General features: G+C 50.0%; 1 long non-coding RNA gene across 1 annotated transcript in view, besides 1 other annotated feature; it reads right to left on the minus strand.

Annotated features, from left to right (window-relative positions):
* The window catches only part of VSTM2B-DT (VSTM2B divergent transcript), a 238,742-nt gene that overhangs the window by 95,448 nt on the left and 129,773 nt on the right, over positions 1-13,521 (minus strand). The window contains exons 7-9 of the long non-coding RNA NR_040029.2: positions 12,878-13,127; positions 10,426-10,619; positions 8,965-9,152 (exon numbers count right to left, since the gene is read on the minus strand). This is a non-coding gene — a long non-coding RNA (VSTM2B divergent transcript). The remainder of the gene's footprint in view (positions 1-8,964; positions 9,153-10,425; positions 10,620-12,877; positions 13,128-13,521) is intronic.
* Positions 11,314-11,483: an enhancer, noted in NCBI's record as "experimental_50790 CRE fragment used in MPRA reporter constructs". NCBI's record gives its function as "activates a minimal promoter by MPRAs in K562 erythroleukemia cells, with activity observed for both the introgressed and non-introgressed 19:29884762 variant alleles {active_cell/tissue: K562}" and the evidence as "EXISTENCE:reporter gene assay evidence [ECO:0000049][PMID:34662402]".

A 13,521-nucleotide genomic window follows, 5' to 3' on the forward strand; every position in this document is an offset into this window, starting at 1 on the left:
AGGAGCTCCTGGCCAGCAATGAGGGCACCAGTGCCCGGCCACGAGCAACAGTGATCCCACAACAGTGGGAAGAATCAGGATTTGCACACTCCAGTTTTCACGTGAAATCACTTAGCACTTACCCTCCCTGCCCTCACCACATCACTGCTGCACCCTCCCTGCTCAGTTTTCTTCCTCCCCTCCCCTCACGCTCCTTCCCTGCCCCTGTGAGAGCCCGGCCCTTGCCCTCTGTGACCTGGGGCTCCCCACCTCCTGGAATCTTTGGGCTGGGAACACCTACAGCCTCCTCCAGGAACAGTAATTGGACTTTTCTTTGAGACTGTCCCCAAGCTCCTTCTCCTTGTTTATCTGCTCTGGATTAAAAGGCCATGAAGAATTGATTTTGCAAAGGCTTAATAATCAGGCACAGTGGACATGTATGTAATTGAATGACAGTTCCGGATTCATCTTTCACAACAACTGTGGTCTCAGAGCTGCTGCGCCAATGACAAAGTGGAGACAAATGAGCCCTTTTAGCATGATGCTAATTACTGCCAAGTCCAGCCTCAGGGTTTTCTCTCTGGCTGGGCTTGGGCTGGTCCAGCAGGGGAAGGATTCATAACCCTATAGTCAGAAAAAGGATCCGCCCACCTCGGCCTCCCAAAGTGCTGGGCCAGCTACCCAGGAGGCTGAAGCAGGAGAATCGCTTGAACCTGGGAGGTGGAGGTTGCAGTGAGCCCAGATTGCACCACTGCATTCCAGCCTGGGTGACAGAGTGAGACTTTGTCTCCAAAAAAAAAAAGGAGACCGGGCACAGTGGTTCACACCTGTAATCCCAACATTTTGGGAGGCCAAGGCAGGTGGATCACCTGAGGTCAGGAGTTCGAGATCAGCCTGAACAACATGGCGAAGCCCCATCCCTACTAAAAAATAAAAGATACAAAAACCAGTCGGGCGTGTTGGTGGGCGCCTGTAATCCCAGCTACTCATGAGGCTGAGGCAGGAGAATTGCTTGAACCTTGAAGGCAGAGGTTACAGTGAGCTGAGATCACGCCACTGCACTCCAGCCTGGGTGACAGAGTGACAGAGTGAGACACCATCAAAAAAAAAAAAAAAAAGGAGCCAGGAGGTCTCAGAGCTTGTTACTGGGAATTGGGATGGGAGGCAGGGCTGGCCTCTTTATGATTCTGCTGAGTTTCCATTAAATCAAAGCAGGTACTGCAGATCCCCCAATTAGTCAGAGGGCAAATGATGGAAGCCCAACTCAAACTGCTCAGACAGTCATCGGAAGATATTGCCTTATGCAAATACAAAGAGGCGGATCCAAGCTTCAGGCAAGCTAGATCCAGGTGCTTAAAGATGCCATTGGGCATCCACCTCTCTCCACTTACAGCCTGCTCTTAGCTGACTTCACTCTCAGGAAGGCTTGCCCCAGGCTTACATCCTCAAGCCAAGCGACCCCAGTACCCAAACAGCTCCCACTTTCCACCACTAGCTCCAGAAAACGTGGGCTTGGCTTGGATTGGGTGCCCAGCCTGGTGTATTTAACACTTACTAAGTTCCAGACACCGTGCCAGGTTCTGGAGACACCAATATAAGACCTGCCACCTTTACTCAAGGAGCTCACAGCTTTGCCGGAAAAACTGGGCAGTGAACAGACAACGTCATGAGTAACCTGTGTACAATGCCGTTCCCTGTGAGAGGCCGAGGGCTTTATTACAGGGCACAGCTTCACAACAAAATTAAATTTTTCTTTTAACTGTGCCATCCTCCAAGCCTCTGGCCCAAATATCCTTCACCCAGCAGAGTGGTGAAGAGCTCAGAGCCCCGCAGTCTGACATCTGCATCTGAATTCTGGCTCTGCCATTTAGGAGTTCTGGGAACTCAGAAAGCGAATTCATTTCTCTGTGCCTCTCTACAGTGAGGCTGATAAGAATGTCTACCTAATAAGGCTGTTCTGAGGATTCATTGACAGGATGCACACGAGGCATTGAATTCACTGCCAACACACAACGAGCGCGGAACAAGTGGTCTTTGCTATTATTTCTATTCCCCGCTGGCTGCTGGACTAGTGATGGGGGTTTTGATGCAGGACAGGCGAGCCCCAAAGTGGGGCTTCACCCAGGAAAAAATTCAACAGTGAGCCAGTGGTAGGGTAGAAGAAAACAGCTTTATAGAAGCAGCAGTGTTACAGCTCTTGGAATGATACAGCCCAGTGATTTCCCCTGCAGAGCAGGGCTACCCACAGGCAGTATGCTGAGAGCAGCAGCTCAGGCCAGTTCCGCAGTCAGATTTATACCCACTTTTAATTACATGCAGATTAAGGGGCGGTTTATGCAGAATTTCTAGGGTAGAGGTAATAACTTTTGGGTCATTGCCATAGAAAGTGGTGGTAACGCCTGGGTGTTGCCATGGCAATGGTAAACTGACATGGCACTCTGGTGGGCGGGTCTGATGGGAAGCTGCTTCCGCCCTGTCCCTGTTTTAGCTAGTCCCCAATTCGGTCTGGTGTTTGAGCCCTGACTGCGGGGTCAAGTCCCACCTCTGACCTCAGTTTGAAGCCCCGCTCTGTGGGGGGAAGGCTCTGGAGTGTTTTCACCCAGCACAGACAAAGGCCCACTTTGGAGGCAGGATTCCACCAGACAGATATCTGAGACAGAAGTTGCCCCCCAAGACAAAAGGGACTCTGATGTTACTCAGGGATGGAATTTAGAAGTCTCATGCTGGGGAGGCATGAGTTCCCAGGGTGAACACAGGAACTGGAGGTGAGGGGTGGTGCTGAAATGGGCCTCGAAGCCAGCTTCCAGCACCAGCATGTGAAGTCCTGAACCAAGGGAGAGAGGGGGTGGCAGGAGGTGGATGGGACATGTTTGGGGTGGGGGTGGCCCTTGGGAGAAAGAGTTCATGGGATGAGGCTCAGCCTCTTGAAGGGCTGGGGGTGCCAAGGCCACCCACATACCGCCAGGCGCAGCCCCTTCACGGCACATCACCCAGCAAGGACTCCAATCCCTGGGAGGGGGAAATGGACCAGGAGCAGTAGCAGGCACCTCCAGGGATGCCCAATGTGCATACCCGCTGAGGACACCGCTCGCAGTTAGAGCATGGAATCAGAGCTTTGAGGGAGGCTGGCAGAGCTCCAGTTTTGCGTGGGTTATCCACCCTCCTAAAATAATATTTTCAACATATCTGTTTTCTGCCAACAGAACGGAATCCAACTTTCTTAGCCTGGTGTGCGAGGCCCTCCCTGTCTCTGGCTGCAGCCTACAAACAGAACGCAAGGCAGCTTCCTCGGCCACCCCGGCAATGGCTCTCACACATGTCACTGATGGGGAGGAGGAAAAAGCCCCCAGACCCCCAGACTTCACTTCCTCCAAGATCAGCAGAGGTTTTCTTTCTTTCTTTCTTTCTTTCTTTCTTTCTTTCTTTCTTTCTTTCTTTCTTTCTTTCTTTCTTTTTTTTAGATGAGATCTTGCTCTGTGGTCCAAGCTGGAGTGCAGTGGTGTAATCATAGCTCACTGTGGCCTTGACCTCCCAGGCTCAAGTGATCCTCCCATCTCAGCCCCTTGAGTAGCTGGGATTACAGGCATGTGCCACCATGCCTGGCTTTTTTTTTTTTTTTTTTTTTTTTGAGATGGGGATCTCCCTATGTTGTCTAGGCTGGTCTCAAACTCCTGGGCTCAAGTGATCCTCCCACCTAGGACTTCCAAAAAATTCAAGTCTATTTTAATGTTCTTTAAATAGACTTGAGGGAAAAACCAACCCCTGGGAAAACCAGGGGCTGAAAGCCCTGTCCTCAGCGGGAGAGCCTCAGCGTTCTTACAGACCAGGTCCCTAAACATGTGGCTTCAAGGGTGTCTCCCTTTCCTCTCCAGCAGTGACCTCCTCAATGTGCCTGTTCAGTATTCCATAAACGGAGAGCATGGGATGCAAAAGCTGCCTTGGTTCAGCTGGGGAAAAAATGCCTTTGAGAGTTTTATCAACTACTAGAGACAGCCCCTTTATAAGGAGTATGCGGAACAGCCACCCCATTGTCTGAGAACAGTGCCCATGCAGAGATGAGACCAGGGAATCCCGGGGTACAGGCATCTCCACTGGGCACAGCTACCTGGCCCACTCAAGGTTGTGGGACCTGGGGGACCAGGGAAACTACCCATCATCTGGGCTGGGCTGAGCCAATCGCATCCTCCCACTTGAGAACTTGAGGCTGGAATCAATCCCTAGTCAGTCTTTCTTGTGCTTGAGCTGGGAGGGACGAAAGGCTGAGACAGTCATTTCCACCTTGAAGAAGGAGAAGAGAAGGTCACACAGCAGTGAGAGAAGAGAGACAACAAAGAAGGGAAGATAGAGACAGCGGCTGCTTTGCCAAGTCCCACCTGGGGAGGTTGGCTTTGCGTCCAGCTCATGGGGTCCTCGAACTGCCCCTATGTCCTTTTCCCAATTAAACCGGCCTGGGCAGTTTCCGTCCTCCACCCCCAGTTATCCCAAAGACGAATCCCAGCCACTTCCACAGCCCTCAGCAGATCCCTGGGAATACTCAACAAGACAGGAACTGAGCTTCTACCCCTTAAGCAATTCTGCAATCTTTTCTTCATTGGCTGCCTCCTCAAAGACCCCAAGTTTGGTGCCACTTGGGCTGGACACAGTGCAAGGCCCAGGGAACCAAACTCAGCCCTCTGCCAGCACAGAATGTGAGACGCTCAAGAAAATGTTCACGCCGTGGGTGCTGCTGGCTCCTCGATGAGCGCTGGACTGAGCTATTACCATATTTCACTGCCATTTACAGAGCACAGCTGTGTGTGCTTTAGTTTAATAAACAGCCATGGTTTGTTTCCTGGGCCAATATTTCTTTTGTATTTACTGGGCTTGGTTTTTGTATCTTGGTTTAAAAGATTGGCTCATGGGTCTGCCTTGTGTCCATCACCTTATTTCTACTGACTTCTGCACTCCCAGCCGCCCCTTCTTCATGAGCTTTCAGCTTGCATCCCCTTACTGGAAGGAGAAGCCATTCTGACACCCTAGACCCACTGTGGTTTTCTCCTCTGCCTCCACCTGGTTTCTGTATCTGCCAGGAGTCGCTTCTGCTGGGCACCCCATTGGAAAGATAGCATTGCAGAGTGAAAAACTCCAGGCACCCCCGTGCCCTGTGACTCACTATAGGACCATCACCTCTAGCTCACCATGTGATCCTGAGCATGTCACTTCCTCCCCTGGGCCCTGGTTTCGTGGTGCGCTGGAGGAAGGCACTGGCCCAGAGCTCCTCCGGCCTCCCGCAGGTCGGACCAGCCATGTGGCTGTCTCCCTGCACTCCCGCAGCTCATCAGGGCTGGGCTCAGCTAGGGGAGGTGCCTTTCCTGCAACTCACCCGCAGCTCAGCTACAGATGCACCCTTGTCAGTGCCTGGTTCGGGATACAGCCAAGCCTCTCAGGCCAGGCGCAGCCTTTCCAGATGCATGGCCCGGCTGGAGTCCTCAACTTTGTATAGTGTCCACACATGCCGCCGAGGGTCTCCCGAGTATCTCTGTCACTTTCCTGCATTGGTGGGTCCCTGTGAGCTGTCCTTCACCTCCCAAGGCTTCCACTGGGCCCTAGGACCCCTGTGTTCCAGACTGGAGTTGGGGAGCAAGAAGGTGTAAAGATTGGGATAGATAGGCACAAATGCTAAAAGCTATTTATTTTTGTCCACTATGTGGTAATTTTTAAATATCCTCATAAATATTTTGGCCCTCCTCCCTTTGCAAGATGAGCTAACCCCCTCCCCATGTGTGGGCCATGCATAATGATCCTTATTAGGAGAATGTGACGGGAGTGATGCTGTATGGCTCATGCTGTATGTATGGGAATAATGCTGCTCATGAAAAGCATAGCTTCTGCTGGGAGCCCTCTCTCTGGGATTGCTTGCTCTGAGAGAAGCCAGCTGCTGGGTCAGGGGGACACTCAAGCAGCTCGGAGACTAGAGCCGTGAATGGAGGAACTTCCTTCCCACCAGCACCCAACACCAACTCGCCATGTAGGTAAGCCTCAGGTGGCTTTCCCCCTGAGCCTCAAGTGTATCTTCCAACGCTAGGTGAGGCTTTATGTGACTGCAACCTCACAAGAAACCCTGGGCCAGAACTCCATGCCAAGCCACCAAATCCTTGACCCAGAAACTCTTGACTCAGAAAGGCTGATAATCAGTGTTCATTGTTCAACCCAGGTGCCCATCAGCAATGGACTGGATAAGGAAAATGTGGCACATATACACCACGGAATACTACACAGCCATCCAAAAGAATGAAATCATGTCCTTTGCAGCAACATGGATGCAGCTGGAGACCACTGTCTTAAGAGAACTAATGAAGGATCAGAAAACCAAATACCACACGTTCTCACCTATAAGTGGGAGCTAAATCGTGAGTACACATGGACATAAAGATAGGAACCATAGACACTGGGGACTACTGGGGGGGAAAGAAGGAGGGAGGGCATGGGCTGAAAAACACCTATTGGGTACCATACTCACTACCTGGGTGACGAGATCATTTGTCAGAAAGAGAAAAAAAAAGTAAAACAAAAAAGAGTAAGAAATAAATATTGATTGTTGTTTTAAGTCATTAACTTTGGGTGATGCATTATACAGCAATGGATGACTAAAACAACCCGAGTCCCCCCAGAAGCTAAGTCTGTGTCACGCATTTCTCTCTGTGCATGGAGAAGCAGGAGAGTCCTTCTATGATCGCTGAGTTGCCTTTAGTAAGATACTGAGCAGGTGAGGCTTCACTGCATTGCTGTGCAGCAACCTCACATTTTGCCCAGCTCTCATGCACGTGGCTCAGGTGCCTCCATGCATCTACAGCCTTTAGCTGAACGAGGTCTCGTAGGGCCTGAGTAGCCACCACAGTCCAGGGCTGGTCCAGAAACCACTCACTTTAGGAGAAGCATGGCTGAGCCCAGAGAAGCTCCTGTCACCAAGTCCACAAATGCCAACACTGAGGCAGCCTCACGCATCATGTTGCGAAAAATATTTCCCTGTAGCACAGGACCACAACCTCAGCTCAAACCTGTGCTCTGAGAACCATGGTAGGAGCATGACATGGGCAGTCAGAGATCTTTGCTAATGCAGCCTGCTGGCTTCTCCAAGGCATGTCTGGACCAAGGTGTATGAGGTTGCATCATTCCCTCCTGACACAGGCTCTAGATGCCAAGAGCTTGAGGAGAGTGAGAGGGATCACGTTTGTGCTAAGCCAGGCCTCCAGCCAAGAGTGCTGGAGGCAGCCCAGCCTCTCTCGTCCTCATGGGCAATGACAGATCCATCATCTAAGCTCTAAGCATGGAGCCCAGTGCTGCCAGGGATGCCTGCCAGCTCTCAATGTGCCCTTATGGGCCTCGCATTATAAAGGGACAGACATTCAAGTCAATCCAGTTTAGCAAACACTATCTGACCATCTACTGCCTGTGGGGCACAGGAGTAGTGGCTAGAGGAAAGAGGAAGCCAGTGCAGCTCCTGCCTCCAAAAGCTGCACTCTCTAGCAAGTGAAGAAATACAGGATCACTCAGGCAAAATGTGGACAAGGCTGGAGCTAAAGTATTAGCTGTCTCTGCCTCTTCTGAGACCCTAAGAATTGTGAACATTAAGAGAAGTTCTGTCAAAGGGTCTATCTTTGGCATGGGCTCTGAAGAGGTCATAAAGAAAGGCTTCGGCCAGGTGCAGTGGCTCATGTGTATAATCCCAGCACTTTGGGAGGCTGAGGAGGAAGGATTGCTTGAGGTTAGTAATGGACCCACTAATGTAGGAAAATTTGAGACCAGCCTGGACAACATAGTAAGAACCCCATCTCTACAAAAAAAATTACAAATTAGCCAGGCATGGTGGTGCATGCCTGTAGTCCCAGCTACTCAGGAGGCTGAAGCAGGAGAATTACTTGAGCCCAAGGGTTTGAGGCTGCAGTGAGCTAGGAGCTAGGAGCACCACTGTACTCCAGTCTGAGCAATAGAGCAAGACCCTGTTTCCCAAGGAAAGAGAGAGATCAAGAGAAAGAGAGAAGAAAAAGAAAAAAAGAAAGAAAGAAAGAGAGAGAGAGGGAGAGAGGGAGGGAGGGAGGGAGGAAGGAAGGCAGGAAGAAAGGCAGGAAGGAAGGAAGGAGAGAGAGAGAAAGAGAAAGAGAGGAAGGAAGGAAGGAAGGAAGGAAGGAAGGAAGGAAGGAAGGAAGGAGAGAGACAGAAAGAAAGAGAAAGAGAGGAAAGAAGGAAGGCAGGAAGGAAAAGAGAGAGAAAGAAAGAATGAGAAAGAAAAGAAAGAAAGAAAGGAAAGAAAGAAAGAAAAAGAAAAGAAGAAGAAAGGAAGGAAGGAGAAAGAGAGAGAAAGAAAGAGATAAAGAAAGGAAAGAAGGAAAGAAGGAAGGAAGGAAGAAAGGAAGAAAGAAAGAGAAAGAAAGGAAGGAAGGAGGAAAGGAAGAAAGAAAGAGAAAAAGAAAGAGGGAAAGAGAGAGAGAAAGGAAGGAAGGAAAAGAAAGAAAGAGAAGGAGAGAGAAAGGAAGGAAGAAAGAAAAGAAAGAAAGGAAGAAAGAGGGAGGGAGGGAGGGAGGAAGGAAGGAGAGAAAGAAAGAGATAAAGGAAGGGAGGAAGGAAGGAAAGAAGAAAGGAAGGAAGGAAGGAAGAAAGAGAGAGAAAGAAAGAAAGAAAGAGAGAGAGAGGCTTTTAGTGAGGGGCAACAACACAACAGAAGACATCATCATGGAGGTGACATCATGGAGGTGCAGGACAGCAGGGTGTGCTCAGGGACTGTGGCCATGACTCTATCATGCCAGTAGGTTATTCAGGTCAGCTAGCGCCATGATAATGTTGCATAACAAACAACTCCTAACAGTAGCAGCCTACAACAATGAGAATTCGTTTCTTTGCTCACAGTTGTCTGGTTGCTGAGATGTCTGTATGCTAGACTGCTGGTCAAAGTCAGGTCTGCTGGCATGTCTTTCATTCCAGGACTTGGGCTGGAGGAGCAGTACTTACCTGGAGCACATTCTTCTCCAAGTGCAAGGCAAGAGGGCAAGAGTCCAGGTTCAATCATATTGAAAGCCTCTGGCTGGATGTGACATACATATCTGCACACATTCCATTCGTTGGAGCAAGTCACGTGGCCTGCTCAGTAGGAGGAGCAAGTCAGTAGGGCAGAGAAGTACTCTCTGCTTACAGTGAGCCTGGAAAAGTGTGGGGAGCGAAGGAAAAACAGTGAACAAATAATACAATGCAATGCAATACAATACAATACAATAGATGGTGACCAAGAAGTCATAATATGAGACTGGAAACACACACTAGGCCTCCTGTGGGAGAGACTAGATTGTTGTTCACCAAACAATTTCTCTTTTCCTCTGCACACAAAACTAGGTATTTCCCAGTCTCCTTCGCCATTAGTGTCTGAATTCTGGACAATGGGGTATAGCAGAAGTGATGGACTCTGCTTGCAGGCCCAGCCTGCTACAACTTCCTACTTCACCCTCCACTCTCTCCTTGTCTGCTGGGTAGATATACAAACCCAGCAGAGGAACCTGTGGCCCAAGGTGATGGCAGAGCCACAATGTGGAAGGAGGCTGGGTCCCTGAGTCACCGCCTGGACAGCAGCCACCCGGAAGATCTACTTGACCCACATTAGTCTGTTTCAGCAGTTGTAAGTAAACTTGTATTGTGCTAAGCTACAGGGATTTGGGGGTTATTTGTTACAGCAGTTAATCTACCTTACTATTCCCCCGTGTCACAGAGGCCCTCGGTGTGGGGCTAAGTGAAACACACTGAGAAACGAAGTCAGGCAGGCTTGGATTGAAATATCAGCACTAGCACTGTTTAGCAGGATGACCTTGAACAAATTGCTTTACCTCTCTAGGTCTTAGTTTTTCATTTTTAGATGGGATTTATAGTCCCTGCCTTAAAAATATATATATATATATATAAGTGACAAACTCTGTTACTCGAAGAGGTGGGGTATCTTGCTGAGACTTGGCAGAGCTGCACTATTGATCCAGGAGCTTACAAGAGGCTTTTGAGAGATGGCAGCATGATGTATCAAGGCTTCAGTCTTCCTGGGGCTCACTCTGCTGTGGGCAGGGAAGTGGGTGGGGAGCAGGATGGCCCTCCATGGAGTGGGCCTGGGGAGACCCCTGCTGCAAGGTAGGCAGGACCTTCTGCTTCACCAGGGGTTTCTCCACGCATCTGCTAGAAGCTTGCAGAAAAGGGGGCTGTTGATTCTCACCTCTTAGCCTGCCACCTGCCTCTGACTCCCCAGACCCCCCACCAGTGAAACCTGCAAAGGCCCTCTGAACCCCAGATGCTGAGGCTCAAGCTTAACCAGGTAGACAGATGATCTCCCAGAGTAAGATGAGCAGAGGGAGCTGGGAGGGCTTTGGAGGCCCCAGGACAAACACCAATGCAAAGGCCTGTGGCAGCCTTGAGTCTGGGTGGCCAGGCGTTACTTACATTTTATTATTTTAGTGGGATTTTGCTGCTGCTATTGTTGTTGTTTGTAGAGATAGGGGTCTTGCTATGTTGCCCGGGCTGGTCCCAAACTCCTGGCCTCAAGTGATCCTCCTGCCTCAGCCTCCCAAAGTGCTGGACTTAACAGGCGTGAGCTACCATACCCGGTCTAGTTTTGTTCTGTTCGGTTTTTTTTCCTGAAAGACACAGAGGAAGAGAGCATAGACTTGGGAGATTTTAAACTCCCAGCTCTGCCTCTTGCTTGCTGTGGGACTTCAAGCAAGCTGCTTACATCTCTGTTCCTCAGTTTCCTCAACTGTAAAATTAAGCCAATTGCAGTTCTCTCCGTGTGGCTTTTTTTTTTTTTTTTTTTTTTTTGGTGAAAATGACATGAGTTAATATTTGTAAAGTATATAGAGCTATGCCTGGGATGCATGAAGGGCTGTGCCAGTGTTTGTTCAATGAATAAAGCAGACAAGAGAGTGAGGCAAAGGGAGAGACAGGCAATGAGAGGGGGAGGTGGAGGGACTCAAGACAGAGAGAAAGAGACAGCAGTCAGATGGCACAGATAGGGAGGCCACCAGGTGCACAGACCGACAGGAACAGACAAGCAGGAAGGAGGGGGCAAAAGCAAAAGCCTTTAAAAATTAGAGAAAGAGACCCAGTGAAAAAGAAAAGGGGAGGCCAAAATCACAAAAATCCAATTAGAATGGAACACAAACGGCGTTCTTATTTAATTGCAAACTGCCAGCTCACCAGGTGGCCTTCTGAAGGCATCTCAGGTCAAAAACCATCACCCATCCCTGATAAAGCCATTTGCCTACATTCCCTGAACAGAGGGGACAGTGGCCAGCCTCTGAAAATGGTCCAGCTGTGAAAGCCCAGAAACCCCAAGCCGCTTTTGCAGCAAGTGTGCACAGGAAAACGGCAGGTCCCACACATTTCCCGGCACTGGACACTCAGATCCTGTCTCCTCCCAGGGCACCCCAGTTCTACCCATGGCCCAGACCCTCATCCTGTCAAAAGTCCCTAGGACAAGGCTTGAGACAAATTAAGAATTTTATTGAAATTTTTATTTCCCAATGCAGCCAAGCTGACAACCTCTCTCTCAAGTTTCAGCCTAATGTGATTTCAAATGGCAGCCTTATACACCTCTGAAAAATGGTGTTTATAATCAAAGCACCAGCAGCTCCTTAACTCTAGGGGCACTCCTGGGCTCAGCTGTAATGACATTAGCGTGTTTAGAGCTGTCAGAAGCAATGTCACTAATCTGCGTCTAGGAGGGAAGAGGCAATGATAAATGAATGGCGTCTCTCACCATAACGGGTGTCCCTGGTCCGCCAGCTACCTGCCTGGCAAACAGCTATGACTCAGTCCCTGCTAAGCAGAACACTGGCCCTCTCCCTGGGGTCTGGGTCTGCCTGGTAGGCTTGGACAATCACAGTACCCAGGCAGAGAAGGAGTGAATCAGAAGCACCGTGGTGATATGGAAACCACTGAAGCTAAGAAACACGGCAGCACTTGGTGAGAATTCAAGAAAATGGCCTGCCTCTACTCATGGGAACAACTGAGCCCAAGCCCCAAGCCGACTGCCAACCCCTGCTTTCCCATGTCACACTCAATCTTTTTTATTTTTTCTTTTTTTGTGGAGTCTTGCTCTATCACCCAGGCTGGAGTAGAGTGCCGCGATCTGGGTCACTGCAATTTTTTTTTTTTTTTGACACGGACTCTTGCTCTGTTGCCCAGGCTGGAGTGCAGTGGTGCGATTTGGGCTCACTGCAATCTCTGCTTCCCGGGCTTAAGTGATTCTCCTTCCTCAGCCTCCTGGGCAGCTGGGACTACAGGTGCTCGCCACCATGCCCAGCTAATTTTTGTAGTTTTAGTAGAGACAGGTTTCACCATATTGGTTAGGCTGGTCTTGAACTCCTGACCTCAGCTGATCCACCCACCTCAGCCTCTCAAAGTGCTGGGATTACAGGCGTGAGCCCGGCCACACCTTTGCTCTTGACTTCATCTTATAAATGATGGAACACATAGGCAGACGTACAGCTCCATTTTCCAGCGCGTAAAACAAGGGCATGACAGTCCAATTCTTGGGGGTGTCACAGGGATGCTGGGGAATGACGGATTACAGTGACATAGATGGCTCAGAGGGTGGCACACAGCAAGCCCTCAGCAGGTGTGACCTGCTGTCGTCCTGGCTGCTATCATTCCTCATCACTTTTATTAGCTTCTGTTAATATTGTAATGAAATTAAGTGACATGGCATGTTTTCCCATGCAGACTGAATTCCCCAGGGCCTGAGTCCACTCCCACTTTTGTCTCTGACCCCAGATGCAACTAGAAATGCACTCAAAATGTATATCTCCCTAGCACATCCGCCAGAACAAACATCAGCGTGCCGTCCCTGAGGGACCAAAACAGACATCCCCAGAGCCTCTGCCCCATGTCTCACCTGCAGCTGGGGCTAAACAGTCATCATTGCAATGAATCAGCACAGGACTTTGATTATGGAACCATCAGCATCCCCGTTTCAGAGAGGAGAAACCGCAGGATCAGAAAGATTCAGCAGGAGGAGAGGCGGGAGGCTGACCTGGGTCTGGAAGTCAGGAAGGCTGGTGCTTCACACTTCACTCCCATGTCTGGCCTTCCATGTGGCCCCTCCCACAACTCACAAGATGCTTCTGCAGGCAACACCAGCCTCCCTTGGAAACAGAAGGGCCACGACAGGGCACACATTCCCGTGTCGGATGGAGTTGGTGGGGAAAAGATAAATTAGCAAGAGTGGGGGAAGAAAAATAACTTCCTGAGGAGAGAGCAGCGGTGCTCAGTTTTCTGGGAACACGCACACGCGGACTCAGAGAAACACACACAGCACAAGCACACACACACAACATGAGCACACACAAGGACACACACAGATGTGAGTGCACACAGCACCCACACAGGCAAGTGCACACACAGAATACACACAAAAACCCCCACAGGTACAAGTGCGCACACACACACACGCACACACACAGGCACACCTGTCAGCTTCTGGCACAAAGCTAACACAGGCTCACATAGAATCACAGGCACTCACATACACACACACAC

The sequence above is a fragment of the Homo sapiens genome, chromosome 19 (genome assembly GCF_000001405.40).
Source record: "Homo sapiens chromosome 19, GRCh38.p14 Primary Assembly".
NCBI classification, from domain to species: domain Eukaryota; kingdom Metazoa; phylum Chordata; class Mammalia; order Primates; family Hominidae; genus Homo; species Homo sapiens.